This window comes from Homo sapiens, chromosome 3 (genome assembly GCF_000001405.40).
Source record: "Homo sapiens chromosome 3, GRCh38.p14 Primary Assembly".
NCBI classification, from domain to species: Eukaryota; Metazoa; Chordata; class Mammalia; order Primates; family Hominidae; genus Homo; species Homo sapiens.
This window is the reverse complement of record NC_000003.12, coordinates 156,941,520-156,962,920: the sequence shown is the minus strand read 5'-3', so window position 1 is coordinate 156,962,920 and position 21,401 is coordinate 156,941,520. Positions and strand designations below refer to the sequence as shown.

General features: G+C 33.7%; 1 protein-coding gene across 1 annotated transcript in view; it reads right to left on the bottom strand.

Annotated features, from left to right (window-relative positions):
- The window catches only part of LEKR1 (leucine, glutamate and lysine rich 1), a 219,777-nt gene that overhangs the window by 83,209 nt on the left and 115,167 nt on the right, over nt 1–21,401 (bottom strand). Inside the window, exon 6 of the mRNA NM_001004316.3 lies at nt 20,207–20,392. Within this exon, the coding sequence (NP_001004316.2) occupies nt 20,207–20,392 (186 nt within the window). The remainder of the gene's footprint in view (nt 1–20,206; nt 20,393–21,401) is intronic.

Below are 21,401 nucleotides of genomic sequence, written 5' to 3'. Positions count from 1 at the left end.
AAGGCAAAGAGAGTGGTAGAGCTAAAGTCTAGCCTTAGAATAAGAAAATGATGTTGGAGGTAAAGAACAAGGAGAGAAGGTTGCAATGGCACAAATGAAAAATGACTAGAGAATGAACCAGAATTACAGCTATCTCAAAGGAGAGAAAGGAGTCTCAGATGAATGACAACCATTATAAGGAGTAGATGCCTATGATCATTATAGAAAATTCCTCTATGATTCAAACATTAATAAAATGGAGATGATACATAAAACAGTGGTAATCTTTAGATGAAAGTTCAATGTTGGGAGCAAATGAAAAGGCAAGAAAACAAAGATAATCTTAGACGACTCCAGTGATCAAAGATCACATGGCTTCCACAGGAGATCCCTTTATAAGACTCACATTTCAAATGGTGATCAGGTTCTAAAAAAGATTTCTTAGAATTTTAGTTAATACTGCCTGGCTTGCAATTTGTCTAGAGATCAGGCTAAACTTTTTGTCCATCTACTTTTGGACACAGAAGCAGCCCACAGTGGTTCATTATCAAGCTGGTCTCTTTTAAGGGCTGTTGGATTTAATACAACTAAAAATAATTACAAACTTCCTTGGTTTTCTGTTTGTAAAATCAGCACTTTCCCCTTTTATTTGAAGCCAAGGTCATATTATTCCAACTAAAGTCCAACAGTTCAAAAGGAATCATAAAGGCTGATCAAGTCACTACAGTGAGTGCTCTCTGAAAATCAGACCTTGCAGGTAAGGTCCTTGTGGATCTGTGTTCATAGATCTCTATCTGCCATACAGACGGATGACTCCTGAATTAAACATAGGCACTCTCTTCTTCAGTAACCTTTTCTAAGAGCAGGCAGACTACTGTTACAGCTAATCAGGGCTGACTAGAAAATAAACAAGTCGAGGTGAATACACCTTTGGGCAAAGAGAAATTAAAATGTATAGCTTTCTTCTGAAATTAAAGTAGTATTTAAAGAAATTTGAATGCTTGTATACTAAATATAATCATTTGGTTTGCTATCACATCAGGAAAGTTACTTTAAAATACATTTGAATATATAGTTCTTTAGATGATCTTACATTTTATCTTGCCTATTCTAATGTATTAAGGTAGGTAAGAAAAGCTACCATATTCCCAATTTACAGATGAAGTAACTGAGACATAGAAATTAATAACTTATTCAAAGGGCCTATACAAGGCCTAAACAGTACCAGAAAGCAGAACTGTTTGGATCCCAGCTCAGTATTTTTTCCAACTGAACCACATCACTCATTTTGTGACTTGAATCACAAGCACTAAACAAGCTACTAATTAAGGAATGCAGTACTTACATATGCTACAACATGGATGAAACTCACAAACATTATCCTAAGTGAAAGACGCCACACACAAAAGACCGCATATTGTATGGTTCTATTTGTATAAAATGTCCAGGATAGGTAAGTCTATAGAGATAGAAAGTAGGTTAAGGATTGTTGGAAAGGGGCAGGAGTGTAAGGGGAGTGGCTGTTGATGGCCACAAAGTTTCTTTTTGGTGTGAAAGAAATCTCCCAAAATTCGACTTTGCTGATGGTCACACAACTCTGCAAATATCCTAAAAACCACTGAATTGTACACTTAAAGTGGGTGAATTTTGTAATTTGTGAATTTTATCTCTGTAAAGCTGTTTTAAAAGATTCAATTAGGATGTTAAAATGTTATATGCAAAATCATTTTTTAAAGTATTTGTGTTATTTACTATACTGAACAGCTTACTAAAATTAAAAAGTCAAAAGTTTTTTCACTTGGAATAAATTTGAAAGTTGGTAAAATAAATTAAGGAAGGATATTAAAAATAAGCTGAATGCTGAAGTGACTTATTTGAACTCTGTCTTCCAATATTTGTGACTGCTGACAAAAAGTAAAGGACATTTTATTCTAGCAGGTGGAAGGAAAATCATTTAAGTAGACTGACTGTGGGTCACAATGACCTCTGAGAGGATTATATCAATTGAGATAAATTGTGCATTTTGGAAGTTATTAGTGTGAGCTAAACATAAAATTACAGAACTTAGGTAAATAAATCTTCAAAAGGAAACAAAAAATTTGGTCTTCAAATTTTTACTTCATATGTTGGCTTTTCTATGAAAAAATCAAATTTTGGCATTAAGAGTTAGGTTGCTATTGATAGCCCATTATTTACTCCTAAACCACTATTAAACTATATGCACCAGAATTAACACATGTATTTAAATTTTTGAGCATCTCTATTTCAAGACAGAAATAAAGGGAAAAAATGTGGGGAAAACAAAGTTAAAAGTTTTTCATGTAGAAAAGTAATGATCATAAAAACCGTATGCTTGGGCCAGGCATGGTGGCTCACGCCTGTAATCCCAGTACTTTGAGAGGCCTAGGAGGGCAGATCACCTGAAGTCAGGAGTTTGAGACCAGCCTGGCCAACATGGTGAAACCCCGTCTCTACTAAAAATACAAAAATTAGCCAGGCTTGGTGGCGCATGTCTGTAATCCCAGCTACTCCAGAGGCTGAGGCACGAGAATCACTTGAATCCAGGAGGTGGAGGTTGCAGTGAGCCGAGATCGCGCCACTGCACTCCAGTCTGGGCAACAGAGTGAGACTCCATCTCAAAACAAAACCAACCAACCAACCAAACAAAAATCATATACTTGAATCAAAGCTGAAACTTTTCAGTGGTGATTTACAAGGAAACAAGTAACAAAATGTGAAAAATATGAGCATTTATTTAACTTTGGAAACAAGAAAATGCCATCAGAGTTAGAACCAGAATCATAGCATATCAGAGCCCAAAGGGCCTTCCAAGGTCTTAGTTCTATCCATTCATTGCCTAGGTGTGGACATATATTCATTAAGGATAAATGGCATGTCAGAGTCACCTGCCTAATGTGTGAAAGGGTCATCATGTTCTGATTCTTGGCTTAGCATGCTTTCAATTAATACCACATTGGTAGGGAACATGGGTGGGGGGGATGAAAGGTACAGCAGAGAGATATTTACATAGTTTGAAATGAAGAAAGATAAAGTTTATTCTAAAAGTGAATTCAAAAGTAAGAAATAAGGGACTATAAAATATTAGAACAGTTTTTAAAATATAAGGAAGCACAATAGTGACATAATATTCAGCAAACATTAACAAATTCAGGTATAAAATATATATTTCATGTTAGTTAAAAAAAGGATAAAATGTTAACTCATTGATTAGGAGAGATAACCTAAGAAAGAATAAGGAACAACTAAAGGCATGGATAATAAAAGGCCACAGTATAGAAATTCAAGTGAAATGAATGAAGGGATTGCAATATTCAGGGGAAATGGATAGTATAGAGTTTGAATTCTCTGAAGAAAAAAAGGCAGAGTGGTGGGATAGAAGGTGGGGCAGAGAATTAGGCCAGGAACACAGAAAGGAAGATGTTCAATTAGTACCACAAAAGAAGCCTTATTGTGATACTTAGCACTTAAAGTTAGTTCTACAACTGCAGAGAAGTTGGTAAAATGGCTTATAGGAAAGAGTATATAAACAATGCAAATGCTTAGAATTGAACTTATGATTATTAATTAAAATAAGCCATTTAGAAAGTTCATAACAAAAAGTGAATTTAAGTGATTTCTAATATATTCTTTAAACAAACAATTATTTTCTTAAAAACAGGACAAAAGAAAGAAGAGATGAGTGGTGTATCAGTCTGCCCTTATTTGATGTGCCCAAAGAAAATCTAAAATACTATGTCCATTATATTAACCTGATGATTTATCTGGGGAGAAGATATTCACTGTAATGTATTGGTTTTTCCTTTTCTCAAAAGCTTAACATGATATCTGAGAAGACTTTAATAAGCTGGAAAAGCTATGAATGGTGCTTATCAAGATAACAAAATCTTACAGACATAAGTCAGCTAATAACAAAAGTTAGGCATGCATTTAAAAGAAAGCAGATTAAGAAGATGGCTGAAGTTCATTAAAATTATGAAAGTAAATGTCATAAGATGGTAGAGAAAGTAAAGCCAAACAAAACGATTTGAATGGGAACATAATTGGAACTAGAGAAATTTACAGGAGACAAAAAAAATACCTTGTTGAGAATCACTAAAGTTAAAAGTACCTGTATATAAAACCAGTGTGAAGCTAGGAGGTGAGAAGTCTTGTGAAGACCCATGAAGAGTTGAAGGACACCTGCATACTAGAAGTCAAGGTGAAGAGAAGGCCCGTTGGCTGGCGTGTGGGAGATGTCCAATAAATACTTGCTGAAAAAATGAAATCAGTTCCAGGACATGGTCAGCCCAAGGTCAATAGATGGGAACATCTATTGTGGTTAGAAGCTAGTGAATAGGTTAATAGACAGTAGGCAGAGATAAAATCAGGTTCTAACAAGTAGGAAATAGGTGGTAGGAAGGGAGCAAAGGGGCAGGCTTGGGGCACTGGAGGTGGGAAAATCAGGAAAGTCCCTCATGGACCCTAGAGACAAGAAGAAAGTTATAATTACTTTGCAATAAAACACTGCAAAATCTGAGATGGAAACTTTGCTGTCTTTCCTGAACTTGTAGTTCTATAGTCTTTCTAAACCACTGTAAATACTTTTGCCAAATGAATTGGGAAGAAAAATATGTTGGTATAATCAGTTCACCAGAAAGATATCTGTGGATAAAGCAAGAAGTACACTTGTGAACATGTTTCTAAATGTTTTGACAATTTCTATATGGGGACCCTGATATGAGAATGAGTAAGATTGTTGGTTGTTAAAACAAAACAAAACAAAAAAACCAACCTGGTACCCTTCACAGATAGGTACGTAGTGAAGTGGTACTTGTCATCGCTAGTTGAGAATAGGGCTAATAATCCTGTCCACTTCTGACTTATTAATTTTAAATGATTTCAACCAAGAGAAATGTAACAGCCTTTCAAAAATGTTTTCTCTGTTATCACAGCTTGGGTGTTATCCATGGTGTGAATCTATTCAACACCAGCAGCAAAAATGAAACCCTAATTTAGTCTTGAAATTATGTGGGGTCAGGCATGGTGGCTCATGCTTGAGGCCAGGAGTTTCAGGTTACAGTGACCTATGATCATGTATTCCAGGCTGGGTGACAAAACAAGACCCTCTCTTTAAAAGGAGAGAGAGAAAGAGAGAAAGGAAATAAATAAATAAATAAAAATAGCTCTTTGCTCTGCAATTATACTGCCTTTTAGAAGAGGCTATATTCTATCTACAACTGCATAACCTATATATGAAGACTGAAAACATCTGAAAAGTACAGAGAACACTGATCTACACTGTACGTTTGCTTTGGATATAGACTGGACTTAATAAAGGTAAAATCTTAATGAGTATAAAAACTGTGGCTAATTACAGTACTGTATTGTTTTGAGGAGTTTTTTTTTTCACTGTAGGAGGTAGAATGTGAGCTAAATCTTGAAAGATGTGTTGGGTGATTTTTTTTTTCTTTTTTGAAGATAGTTTATTGCTAAAACACCAACAGAAAAAAATTTAAAAGAGAAAAAAAATTACTCCTTTCCATCACCTAAAATTTATTCTCATATTTCCAAGTTCCTTTCTGGTTTCTGTTCACAAATACACCTATTCTGATGTAACTGTAATTATATTACACATATAATTTTGTGGATTCTTTTTACACTGTAACATAATCATAAGCATGTTTCTATGTTGATGCCCAGTGGTCATATTGTCATTTTAAAAGTCTGCGTAATGTCCTAAATGTTGGCATGGGATAATGTATTACTCCTATCATTAGTGTTGGGCATAAATTAGTTCTAATTATTCACTATTATAAATGTGATCTTTCCACAAAAATAATTTTCTTCTTCTGATTGTTTTCTAAGTATAAATTATCAAAAAGGAGATAACTAATCACAAACATTTCTGTGGGGTGAAAAAAATACAGTAATAACTTATGTCACCAAATGAAGGAAAACTTTACCATTAAAGTCTTTGTACTAATTTAAAAAGTAGAATTTTATTTAGTTAGTTATTAGTAATTGAACATTTTGTGTTTATTATGTGTTTTTCCTGTGTTAATGGTTTGTTTCTGTCTTTCACCCATTTGCTTGGGGTCTTGGAGTTTTCTTACACAGTTGAATAAATCCTTTACATGGTGTGGATTTTAACACTTCATATATCATATATGAAACAAATACTTTTTTGTCAGTCTGCTGTTTTTAGGTTGTTTGGCAGATTTGAACTAAAAAATTCTACCTTTTTAATAGACAAATTCTGTCAGTGTTACTCTTTGCAATTTTTAAGGTGCTGCTTTATCCCTCCATAATTAGGATACATTCTGTATATTTTTATTGTGTGCTAGTTTGCCTTGAGGCTTATTTTGATGTAATGTTTATTTCCTTTGGTTATCTCTATAGCACTTATTATATAATTTTGCTTTTTCCCCATTGTTAATGATGCTTACATTAATATCTGATTCTACTTCTGGATTTGCTACACTGTTCTAAAGATATATACTGCCATTTTCGCAGCAGCAGAACATCCCTATAAAAACATAGTTTAAATATGCTAGGGCTAGGTGGCCAAACATGGATTTTCACTTCCAGGCTTTTAAAAATATATTTTTCCCAAGATCTGATCCAAGAGCAATTGATGCCAAGAAGCTGAAGGAGTAGAGGGATCAACTGCTGTTCAGGACCAGAGGAGAAAGCAAGTGAGGTAGGTGTCCAATGTCTTAGGGACACAGAAGCTACATCCTCACCAGAGAGTTCTTGTGGAATGATTTTGGCTGTGAATCTAGCAGCCTCCCTTTACTGGGTTCCTAACCACTTTCTCAGCCTGGTTCTTCCACCCTCTTAGATATTCTGAATATCTAATATCCTTTCAATAAATTACTTTACTGTTTGAATTAAAGTTAGTTTTGGCTGATTGTGACTAACTAAAAAAATTCACAAATGCTGTTCTTTTTGAAAATGTAAGCTACTTACTTTTTTTTTTTTTTAACTATTCTACAGTATGAACATCCTTTTCCCAACATTCCTTATTATTATTTTTAAGCTAGTGCTGAACTTGTCTGGCCATAAGAACCAGCATCATCCTAATAGCCAAACCTGGCAGAGATGTAACAACAACAACAACAACAACAACAAAAAGAAAACTTCAGGCCAATATATCCCTGATGAACATCAATGCAAAAATCCTCATTAAATATTGGCAAACTGAATCCAGCAGCACATCAAAAAGCTTATCCACCATAATCAAGTTGGCTTCATCCCTGGGATGCAAGCTTGGTTAAACATATGCAAATCAATAAATGTGATTCATCACATAAACAGAACTAAAGACAAAAACCACATGATGATCTCAATAAATGGCAAAAAGGCCTTTGATAAAATTCAACATCCCTTTATGTTAAAACCTCTCAATAAACTATGCATTAAGGGAACATACTTCAAAATAATAAGAGCCATATATGACAAACCCACAGCCAATATCATACTGAATGTGCAAAAGCTAGAAGTATTTCCCTGGAAAACTGGCATAAACAAAGATGCCCTTTCTCACCACTCCTATAAAACATAGTATTGAAAGTTCTGGCCGGAGCAATCAGGCAAGTGAAAGAAATAAAGGATATCCAAATAGGAAAATAAGAAGTCAAATTATCTTTATTTGCACATAACATGATCCTACACCTAGAAACCTGTCTCAGCCCAAAAGCTTCTCAAGGTGATAAGCAATTTCAGCAGTCTCAGGATACAAAATAAATGTGCAAAAACATTCCTATACATCAACAACAGGTGAGCCAAGAGCCAAATAATGAATGAAATCCCATTCACAACTACTATAAAAAAAATTTTTAAAACCCTAAGAATACAGCTAACAAGGGAAATGAAAAACCTTTTCAAGGAGAACTACAAATGACTGCTCAAGGAAATCAGAGAGGACACAAACAAATGGAAAAACATTCCATGCTCATGGATAGGAAGAATCAACATTATTTAAATGGCCATACTGCCCAAAGTAATTTATAGATTCAATGCTATTCCCATTAAACTACCATTGACATTCTTCACACAACTAGAAAAAACTATTTTAAAATTCATATGGAACCTAAAAGAGCCTGACTAGCCAAGGCAGTCCTAATCAAAAAGAACAAAGCTGGAGGCATCATGCTACCCGACTTCAAGTTATACTGCAAGGCTATAGTAACCAAAACAGCATGGTACCAGTACAAAAACAGACATATAGAACAATGGAACAGAATAGAGAACTCAGAAATAAGACAGCACACCTACAACCTCTGATATTTGACAAACCTGACAAAAGCAAGCAATGGGGAAAGGATTCCCTATTTAATAAATGGTGCTGGGAGAACTGGCTAGCCATGTGTGGAAAACTGAAACTGGACCCCTTTCTTATGCCATATACAAAAATCAACTCAAGATGGATTAAAGGCTTAAATGTAAAACCCAAAGCTATAAAAACCCTAGAAGAAAATCTAGGCAATATCATTCAGGACGTAGGTACAGGCAGAGATTTCATGATGAAAATGTTAAAAGCAATAGCAACAAAATCAATAATTGACAAATGAGATCTAATTAAAGAGCTTCTGCACAGCAAAATAAACTATTAATAGGTGAACAGACAACCTAAAGAATGGAAGAAAATTTTTGCAATCTATCCATTTGGCAAAAGTGTAATATCCAGAGTCTACAAGAAACTTAAAAAAATGTACAAGGAAAAAACAAACAACCCCATTAAAAAGTAGGCAAAGAACATGAACAGACACTTTTCAAAAGAAGACATACATGCAGCCAACAAACATGAAAAAAAGCTCATCATCATGATCATTAGAGAAATGCAAATTAAAACCACAATAAGATACCATCTTACACCAGTCAGAATGGTGATTATTAAAAAGTCAAGAAACAACAGATGCTGGCAAGGTTGTGAGAAAAAGGAGCTTTTACACTGTTGGTGGGAGTACAAATTAGTTTAACCTTTGTGGAAGACAATGTCATGATTTCTCAAAGATCTAGAGGCCAAAATACGATTTGACCCAGCAATCCCGTTACTGGGTATATACCCAGAGGAATATAAATAATTCTAGTATAAAAATACAAGCATGCATATGTTCATTGCAGCACTATTCACAATAGCAAAGACATGGAATCAACCTAAATGTCCATCAATGATAGATTAAATAAAGAAAATGTGGTACACATACACCATGGAATACTATGCAGCCATAAAAAGGAATGAGATCATGTCCTCTGAAGAGACATGGATGGATCTGGAAGCTGTTATCCTTAGCAAACTAACACAGGAACAGAAAACCAAACACCAAAAACCACAAACCAGTGTTCTCACTTGTAAGTGGGAGCTGAATGATAGGAACATATGGACACATGGGGAAAACAACACACACTAGAGCCTGTCAACTGGGGGGTTGAAGGGAGGAAGAGCTTCAGGAAGAATAACTAAGGGATGCTGGGCTTAATACCTAGGTGATAGGATGAGATCTGTGAAGCAAACTACTATGGCACACGTTTACCTGTGTAACAAACCTGCACATCCTGCATGTGTACCCCAGAACTTAAAATAAAAATTGAGGGAAAAAATAATAATATGTCAATATTCATTCATTAATTGTAACAAATGCACTAAACTAGTGTACAATGTTAACCATAGGGGAAACTGTGTGTTGGGGGGAGTGATATATGAGAATGCTCTATATTATCTTTTCATTTTTTTCAGTAAATCTCAAATTGCTATAAAAAATAAAGCTTTTTTTTTTAAAGACTCCCCTCATTCATCTCTCATTCACCTAATTCTGATTGCCTCCAAATAATAAATACTGTAGTTAGTTTCTTGTATATATATCTCCAAAGATTTTAAAAATTTATAGAGAGTACAAGTAAATAATAATACACATATATTTCACTTCATATTTTGTATACAAATTATACCACAGTGCATATGCAATGTTATGTATCTTCCTTTCTTTGTTTGACAATATAGTTTGGAGCTCTCTATCTCTCCAAGGAACAAGGAACTTTCTCTGTCTCTCTCTTTCTCTCTCTCTATGGCTATATGGACTCTACTGTTTGAATACTGCACAATTTATTTAACCAGTCACCTATCATGATGTTTTAGGTTGCTTGCAGTCTTTTGGTATTACTATGCTTCAAAGAATAACTTTGCAAATCTGTTACTTCATTTATAAGAAGGCATATCTACATGTTAATTCCTGGAAAAGGAAGTCCAGGGTCAAAGGAAGGGGGTTCATTTGTATTTCAGACAAATATTGAAAACTAGTCTCTAGAGTAATTGTACCAATTTATAGTCCACCCAGAAATGTATTAGAGTGCCTCACCAACCCAATCTGCTATCATACTTTTGGGTTTTGTTAATCTGATACATGAAAATCACTACCTTAGTAGTTTCGTTTTTTATTGATCTTATAAATATTTGAAATATTTAGCTTTGACAGCGTTTTTGAAGGAAAAAAGATCAAAGCTAAACTCCAAAACTTCACAGTTTTCATGAGAATCTATCATTTATACATTAAAGAATTTCACAAGTATTTATATTGTCAGCATTAACAGCTCCTGGTATAATAAATTCCAAAAATGCATTTTTGTTGCTACTACTCTCACATGGTTTCGATGTGCCTCCATTTAGCTAAAAATAGCTTCTAGTTCTAAAAAGTCTCCAGGAATCTACAACTCCTGGGGCCATCCCATCAGCAGCTATTCCAGGTCGAGAGGAAAATCCAGGATATATGAGAAGAATTTCAGTTTTCTCAAGAATGCAAGAGTGTATCTTTAAATAGAGCTTGCCACATCAATTCCCTACTTTTTCTAGTTCATAAAATCAAAACCCTATATATCATTTTGACTATTTCAAGTGACAAGTACAAGTAATTCATTTGAATACAACTTTCATACACTCAAAGATGAAAAATTGATTTGTTCATTCCTTATACTATACCCAATAGTAAAAAATTATTTGAAGCATTAGAATCTCACAATTCTAAGCTATTAAAGAGCAAATCAACCCCAAAGCTAGCAAAATACAAGAAATAACCAAAATCAGAGCTGAATGGAAGGAAATAAAGACACACAAAAACATTCAAAAGATCAATGAATCCAGAAGTAGGTTTTTCGAAAAAGTTAATAAGATAGGCCACTAGCTAGACTAATAAGGAAGAGAGAAGATCCAAATACACCCAATTAGAAATGAAGAAGAAAATGTTACCACTAACCCCATAGAAATAAAAACAACCATCAGAAACTACTACAAATACCTCTATGCACACAAACTAGAAAACCTAGAAGAGATGCATACATACCTGGACACATACACCCTCCTAATACTGAACCAGGAACAAATTGATTCCCAGAACAGACCAATAACAACATCAGAAATTAAATCAGTAATAAACAGTCTACCAACCAAAAAAAAACCCCAGGAGCTGATGGATTCACAGCTGAATTCTACCAGAGGTACAAAGAAGAAGTGGAACCATTCGTAGTGAAACTATTCCAAAGAATCGAGGAGGAAGAACTTCCCAACTCATTTTATGAGGTCAGCATCATCCTGATACCAAGACCTGGCAGAGACACACACACAAAAAAATTCAGGCCAATATCCATGATGAACATCAATGCAAAAATCCTTAACAAAATACTTGCAAACCAAATTCAGCAGCACATCAAGAAGCTAACACGTCGTGATAAAGTAGGCTTCATCCTTGTGATGCAAGGCTGGTTCAACATATGCAAATCAATAAATGTGATTAATCACATAAATAGAACTAAAGAAAAAAACCACATGATTATCTCAATAGATGCAGAAAAGGCTTTTGATAAAATTCAACCTCCCTTTATGTGAAAAACTTTCAATAAACTAAGTATTGAAGGAATAGACCTCAAAATAAGAGCTGTCTATGCCAAACCCAAAACCAACATCATATTGAATGGGCAAAAGCTGGAAGTATTCCCTTGAAAACCAGAACAAGACAAGGATGCCCTCTTTCACCACTCCTACTCGATATAGCATTGGAAGTCCTAAGCCAGAGCAATCAGGCAAGAGAAAGAAATAAAAGGCATTCAAATAGGTTAAGAAGAACTCAAACCATCTCTGTTTGCAGATGACATGTTTCTATATCCAGAAAACTCCTCAGTCTTGACACAAAAGTTCCTTGAGTTGATAAACAGCTTTAGCAAAGTTTCAGGATACAAAATCAATGTACAATCACTAGCATTCCTATACACCAACAACAGCCAAGCCAAAAGCCATATCAGGAACACAATCCCATTTACAATTTACATACTCACACACACATACACACACACACACAAAATTCCTAGGAATAAAATACATAGGAATACAGCTAACTAGGAAGATGAAAGGTCTCTACAATGAGAATTACAAACTGCCCAAAGAAATTAGAGATGACAAAAAGAAATAGAAGAACATCCCATGCTCATGGATTGGAAGAATCAATATCAGTAAAATGGCCATACTGCCCAAAGCAATTTACAGATTCAATGCTATTCCTATCAAACTATCAATGACATTTTTCATAAAACTAGAAAAAATTATTTAAAAATTCATATGGAATCAAAAAAGAGCCAGAATAGCCAAGGAAATCCTAAGCAAAAAGAACAAAGCTGCAGGCATCACATTATCCAACTTCAAACTATACTACCAGGCTGTAGTAATCAAAACAATATAAGAAATGAAAAAGGGGCAGTAACTACAAATAAAGAAGAAGAAATAATAAGAAAATAATGCTCTGAACAACCTCATGCCAACAGCTTTGAAATCTTGGGTGAAATGGATATATTAATACAAAAATATATGTTACTAAGATTGACTCAACAAAATCAAAAGGTTCTGTAACTATTAAATAAATTGAAGCAGTGTCTTCCCACAAAGATATGGCCAGATGGTTTTCTAAGCAAATTCTACCAAACTTTCAAGAAACAGAGAATCTTAATTTTATACAATGTTTTAGAAAGAGCCAAAAATTAAAGTATATTTCCCAACTCATTCTACAAGGCCATAGTGACCTGTAACCACAATCTGACAAAGATATTAAAATAAAGAAATAAAGGCCTATTTCTATTATGAAAACTGATGTAGCAATTTTTAACTAAATGTGAGTAAACTGAAACAAACAGCTTTTCTTTATGCTGAGTATGTGATCAAGTCTTACTAAATGTTCCTTTGAAATATGAAGTAAAATACAATTCTCTACTTGAGAATTCTTGTAAAATCCTTGTGAAAACCCTAGAAGGTCGGGACTGTTATTATACCCATTTTGTAAATAAAGAAACTAAGGCCCAGAGGAGTTTAACTTATGCAAAATAACACAGCTAGTAAATATTGAAGCCAAAAGAACAGCATGGTACTGGTACGAAAACAGGCACACAGACCAATGGACCAGAATAGAGAGCACAGAAATAAAAACGCAAACCTACAACAATCTGATCTTTGATAAAGCTGACAAAAACAAGCAATGGAAAAAGACTCCCTATTCAGTAAACGGTGCTGGGATAACTGGCTAGCCATATGCAGAATACTGAAACTAGACCCCTTCCTTATACCATATATAGAAATCAACTCAAGATGTATTAAAGACTTGAATGTAAAACCCAAAACTATAAAAACCCTGGAAGACAACCTAGGGAATTACCATTCTGGACATAGGAATGGGCAAAGATTTAGTAACAAAGACACCATAAGCAATTGCAACAAAGGCAAAAACTGACAAATAGGATCTAATTAAACTTAAGAACTTCTGCACACCAAAAGAAACTATCGACAGAGTAAACAGACAACTTACAGAATGGGAGACAAAATTTGCAAAGTATGCAGCAGACAAAGGTCTATTATCAAGGATCTAAAAGTACCCTAAATTTACAAGAAAAAAACCCAAACAAGCCCATTAAAAAGTGGGCAAAGATCATGAACAGACACTTCTCAAAAGAAGACATACATGAGGCCAAATAGGAAAAAAAAGTTCACTATCACTGATTATTACAGAAATGCAAATCAAGTGCCAATGAGATATCACCTCACACCAGTCAGAATGGCTATTATTAAAAAGTCAAAAAGTAACAGATGCTGGTGAGTTTGCAGAGAAAAGGACACACTTATACACTTGCTGGGAGTGTAAATTAGTTCAACATTGTGGAAAGCCATATGGCAATTCCTCAAGGAGCTAAAAGCAGAACTACCATTTGACCCAGTAATCCCATAATTGGGTATATACCCAGAGGAATATAAAGCATTCTACCACAAAGACACATGCATGCAAATGTTTATAGCAGCACTATTCACAATAGCAAAGACATGGAATCAACCTAAGTGCCCATCAATGACAGATTGAACGTTCACTGTCAGCATTATTATTTAACAGAGTGTCAGAGCTTCAGATGAATTTAATAAGATATGAAGGAGACAAGAAAATAAAATAACAGATATAAACACTGGGAAAAAATAGATGAACTCTTTTGGGAAGTTGTAGGCCCAAGAGTCACTAATAAAAAATGTCTACTGTAGAATTAATATGAGAATTTTGTGAGGTGCATGGATATAAAACAAATATATAAAAATAAATAGCTTTTGTCTACTCTATCAACAAAAATTGAAATAGGAAAAATAGTCTATTTATGGTAGAGGCAAAACTGACAGTAACAAATTTAACAAGAATGGCAAAGAAACATATTTAAGTAAAACTATTACATCTTATTAAAGAACATATAATAGCATTAAAAATGAAAGAGCATACCATATTTTTGAATGAAAAGACTTACAATATTCAAAAGACAATATTACCAAAATTTTTAATTTTCTAAAACTTAGTTTATAAATATAATGCAATTCAAATTAGAATCCTTGTTGGCATTAGAGGTGAATGAAATCATCTTAAAGTTTATGTGGAAGAATAACTTCCTTTGAATATGTGGGAAAGATGTAATGAGTAGAGAGAGAAAAACTTTTACTAGGTAATTCTTGGAGCCTGTGGATTAGAGGTAAATAAAATTATATTAAAGTTAAAATGAAAGACTAACTGTCTGCAAATATGTATTTAAAAAGTAAGAATGGTGGAGACAGAAAGGGCTTAGCACCTGAAAGAATATGCTAATAAGTCATATTCAAATCAATGTAATATTAATGGTGCGTCAAATAAATTAGTGGAACAGAAGACAGAATATAGTAATAGTTGCTAGTACAGACAGTTCCTGACTTATGGTTCAATATGATTTTTTGACTTTATGATGGGTTTGTCAGGATGTAACCCCATCATGAGTTGAGAGGCTCCTTACCAATTACGACGGGGTTCTGGTTTCTATTGAATGCATATTGCTTTAATGCCACAGTAAAGTCAAAAATTTGTAAGTTGAATCATGGTAAGGTGGGATCATCTGCTGTGTTGCCAGCATTAAATGCATTTTTTTACTTACAATATTTTCAAGTTAGGATGGGTTTATTGGGACATAACCCCACTGTAAGTAAAGGAGCATCTGTATATATTAAAATTTTAACATACAACAGATAGTAGTTCTATGTAGTGAGAAAAGGATAAATTATTTAATACATAATACTGATACAATTGGAAAAGAGTAAATCTGGACCACTATATCTTGCACCAACATAGCAAAACCTATGGGATCCAGCAAAAGCAGTACAAGAAGAAAGTCTATAGCAATAAGCACTTACATCAAAAAAGTAGAAAGCTTCAAATCAACATAACAATGCATCTTAAAGCAAGAGAAAACCAAGTCCAAAATTAGAAGAAAAGAAATAAAGATCAGAGCAAAAATAAATGAAATTGAGACTGAAGAAAACAATACAAAAGATCAACAAAATGAAAAGTTGGTCTCCTGAAAAGATAAAATTAACAAACCTTTAACCCAACTAATAAAGAAAAAAAAAGAGAAGACCCAGATAAATACAATCAGACATGAAAAAGGAGACATTACAACTGATACTGCAGAAATTCCCACTGGCTATTCAGGAACATATTGTTTATCATTAGAGGCTACTATGAGCAACTATATGCCAATAAATTTGAAAACCTAGAAGAAATGAATAAATTCCTAGATATATACAATCTACCAAGACTGACCAATGAAGAAATCCAAAACCTGAACAGGCCAATAATAAAAGGGAAGCAAGGATGGTCCAACATATGCAAATCAGTGTGATACATTATATTAACAGAATGAAGGACAAAAATCATAGGATCGTTTCAGTTGATTCTGAAAAAACGTTTGATATAATTCAACATGCCATCGTGATAAGAACCCTGAAAAAACTGGGTATAGAAGGAACATATCTCAACATAATAAAAGCCATATATAAGAGGTCCACATTTAGTATCATACTGAGCAGGGAAAAATTAAAAGCCTTTCCTCTAAGTCTGGAACACAACAAGGATGCCCACTTTCACCACCATTATTCAACACAGTGCTGAAAATCCTAGCTAGAGCAATCAGACAAGATAAGGAAATAAAAGGCATCCAAATTGGAAAGGAAGAAGTCAAATTATCCTTGTTTGCAGATGATATAATCTTATATTTAGAAAAACCTAAAGACTCCATAAAAACTATTAGAACTGATAAACTAATTCAGTAAAGTTGCAGGATACAGAATCAACATACAAAAATCAGCAGCATTTCTATATGACAACAGTGAACAATCTGAAAAAGAAATCAAGAAAATCATCCTATTTACAATAATTACAAATAAAATAAAATATCTAGGAATAAACCTAACCAAAGAAGTAAAAGTTCTCCAAAATGAAAACATTGATGAAAGAAATTGAAAAGGAAACAAAAAAATGGAAAGATATTCCAAGTTCATAGATTGGAAAAATCAATATTATTAAAATGTCCATACTACCCAAAGCAATCTACAGATACAATGCAATCACTATCAAAATACCAATGTCATTCTTCACAGAAATAACAAAAATAATCCTAAAATTTAGATGGAATCACAAAAGACCCAGAATAGTCAAAGCTATACTGAACAAAAATAACAAAACTGGAGAAATCACATTACCTGACTTCAAATTATACTACAGAGCTATAGTAAACAAAACAACTGGGTGCTGACATAAAAACAGACACAGAGACCAATGGAACAGAACAGAAAACATACAAACAATTTCATGCATCTACAGTGAACTAATTTTTGACAAGAGTGCCAAGAACATAGGTTGGGGGAGGACAGTCTCTTCAGTAAATGCTCCTGGGAAAACAGGATATCCATATGCAGATGAATAAAACTAGATCCCTATCTCTCACCATATACAAGAATCAAATCACAATGGATTAAATATTTAAATCTAAGACCTCAAACTATGAAACTACTAAAAGAAAACATTAGGGAAACCCTCCAGGACATTGGACTAGGCAAAAGTTTCTTGAGTAATACCCCACAAGCGCAGGCAGCCAAAGCAAAAATGGACAAATGGGATCATATCAAGTTAAAAACATTCTGCAGGGATCACATCAAGTTAAAAACCTCCTGCACAGCAAAGGAAACCATCAACAAAGTCAAGAGACAACCCACAGAATGGGAGAAAATATTTGCAAACTATCCATCTGACAAGGGATTAATAACCAGAATACACAAGCAGCTCAAACAACTCTATAGGAAAAAATTTAATAACCTGATTTAAACAAATGGGCAAAAGATCTAAATAGACATTTCTCAAAAGCAGACAAACAAATGGCAAACAGGTATATGGAAAGGTGTTCAACATCACTGATCATCAGAGAAATGCAAATCAAAACTATACTGAGATATAATCTCACCTCAGTTAAAATGGTTTTTATCCAAATGACAGAAAATAGAAATTCTGGCAAAGTTATAGAGAAAAGCGAACCCTTGAACACTGTTGGTGGTAATATAAATTAGTATAATCAATATGGAGAACACTTTGGAGGTTCCTCAAAAAACTAGACATAGAACTACCATATGGTCCAGGAATCTCACTGGTAGTTATAATACTGAAAGAAAGGAAATCAGTATATTGAAGAGATATCTACACTCCCATGTTTATTGCAGCACTATTCACAATAGCCAAGATTTGGAAGTAACCCAAATGTCCATCAACAAATGAACACATAAAGAAAATGGGGTAAATATACACAATGGAATACTATTCAGCCATAAAAAGAATGAGATACAATCATTTGCAACAACACAGATGAAACTGGGGGTCATTATGTTAAATGAAATAAGCCAGCCAGAGAAAGACAAATTTTGCATATTTATTTGTAGAAACTACAAAAAATTAAAACAGTTGAACTTCTGGCAATAGAGAATAGAATGGTGGTTACCAGAGTGTGGGAAGGGTGATGGGGCAGGGTTGAGAGGATGGAAAGTGGGGATGGTTAATGGGTACAAATATATGGTTAGACAGGATGAATAAAAGCTAGTATTTGATAACACAACAGGGTAACCACAGTCAACAATAATATTGTACATTTAAAAATAACTAAAAGAGTATAAATTAATTGTATGTAAAACAAAGAAAGGACAAATGCTTGAGGCAGGACACCTCATTTACCGTGACATAATTATTATACATTGTATGCCTGTACCAAAATATCTCATGTATCCTATAAATATATACCCCTACTATGTACCCACAAAAATTAAAAACAAAAAATTTCAAATAGCTGACTAGATTTTTTAAATAAAATCAAAATAAATTCTATATGTATTAATGACTCACTTGGGAAACAAAACCCAGGATACTGTATGTACTATCTAGGAATGGGACTACTTTAATAAGACTACCCAGAAACAATAAAAGATAATTATTGATTATACCAAAACAAAAAACTTCGATATGGTAAAATTTACCATAAAAAGTCAATAGATAAATTATGCATTTGAAAAAAATCAAATGTAGAATATAATATTTATACTGTATAAAATTTGCTATAAAATTATCAAGAAAAATTCCAATAATGCAATAGAAAATTTCCAGAATCTATGAGTAGGTAGTTCTCAGGAAAGAAAATAAAAATATATGATTATTTTAAATTTTATCTGATTTTAAAATTTTTATCTGTTGCATACTGCTATAAAGTTAATATGATGACTTGTTATCTTCTCTTTCAACACTAGCTTCTCTCCAGATTTCTGTAGTCTGTGGTATGCTCCCATCATTAAAGACTCCCAAACACAGGAGGTTCAGAGCCCTTTCTGACTTCCTTCTCTTCTGTGTTTACTCAGACAGATGTTCATCTCCCTGGTCTTAGGTAGTCACCTCAACCCTGATTCTATCTCACCCTTCCCACTGGGCCACGGAGAAGCCTAAATAGACACAGTGGGACAAGCATGAGCATTGAAGTCCAACCGGTTTTGCTTTTACTCTCTGCCATTTACTAGGAACGTAGTACCAGTCATGATACTTTGTGGGCCTTGGTTCTCTCCTCTGTAAGATAGGATAATTATACCAGCTTTTCATGGTCGTTATGAGAACAGATAGAAATAATTCACATAAAGTGTCTAGCACACTTAGGACTTAAAAAAATGTGAGTTCCCTTCCCTACTTCAGCTTCTTATGGTTAGTCTTGGGATTGGGATACTGGCAAAGATATTTTCAAAATGGCTACTTGACTCCAGTGTCTTGATGTTTGAAACACCTCTATTCATTACTAACAGATTAATTTGTCTAAAATTCTGCTTTTGTGATATCATTCTTCTGATTACCTATTTTATTGATCCCTTACTATCTTCAGGGAAAATTACAAACTCTTTACATTTACTGTCAAGACACTCATTCCTCTGAGGTGGAGACAAACTTTAAAACCTTGCCCAAGATGCTTCAAACACTTTAAATTTTTTCATTTGGAAAAATGAAGGACTGCCTGCAATTCTGGATTCACCTTTACAAGGAAACATAGAAGAGCACAGATATACCAAAGTAAATTTCGCCTTATTTTTCTGAAATCTTACGTTGCAGTTGAAATGTCTTTTATATATTCACTTAAGTCTTACCACACTAAATGGCAAAACTGGAAATGATGACAGCAAGTATTGACCACAGACACAGTTATCACCATAGTGATACTAATAATTAGGCATATTTGCAACTCAAAATAATTAAAACAAGATTTTGTTGTAATTATAAGTAAAAATGTAAACATTTATTCATGTACTTATATAACTAGTCACCAAAAACAGCAAAAGACTTTTCTTTACCTAGTACTTCTTTTTGCAAATCATAGCATCTGGTTTGCAAGTTTACTTCCTGTTGTCTAGATGTCCGAATCTGCTGAGATCTCAATATGGCTGCATCTGACAACAATTTCAGATTTTTCATTTCCTTTTCAAGGCATACTTTATTTCTCTGGGATACTGTCAAACTTTTATTCAGTATGTCTATTTCTGTAAGAAGAATTCAAAGTTTACAAATAGCCAATAATTGAATCATAAAACATTTCTCTAAAGATTGATTAGTTTCTTTTAGAAAATTAATAGTTGAAAGGCAAGATGACATTTCTGAGATTATAATGACATCTAACTAAAAAGTTAAATTTAAATTCAGTAGTCAGTCTGAAAACGATAAAAAAAGTTTTATTGCTACATGATGCATGAAATCTTTTAACAGTATTTTTTTTAGCTTTTAAATTGTATTAAGTGGTAATACAGCCTGCTTTTTAAATACTTACATAAATGAATAATATCTGTGTAATGTTATAGGTTTTATTGAAATGATCTTTTTTTTAAGCAACATGATTCAGAAAAGTAAATTTAAATGTTCTAGCATGAGCTGGTTGGGTGGCATTTCTAAGGGGTTAACTAGAATACATTCTCTACAAATTATGAAGAAAGATTTTAGGAGTAGAGTGGACAGAAGGATGTAGTGTCTAAAACTAATAAATTTAGGGGAAGAAAGCATTAGTTAATAATATCTTAATGATTTTAATAGTACTGTATCCCCCCCAATAAGACCAGAATTCATAATAATCATGTCATTATTCTATTTAGATTGTTTAATAAAAATCTTTATAGCTCTACTTAGATTTAAATATGCTAATTTTATACAATTTCATGAGAAATGCATGGAGCATATTATCCTTCAGAATAATTAATAAGCTCCCTGTTCATCAGTCTTTTCTGCACTATTGCCTTAAACTATCATTAAAACACATGAACACACACTCAACAAAGATAAAATAAATGCTATGAAATTTGTACAACCACAATTAATTGAATTGATGAGCATGTGATTTAGATGAAAATTTGGACAGTCTGCTTTTTCAGACATTTCACTTGGAATTCCCTTCTTTGGTTAGCCCATCCTGGACTATGTGATAGGTTCAACATGTGACGAGATGTCAAAAGTGGTTGGTTTCGTTTATTGCTCTTGGTGCCACCACAGCAGAAACAGCAA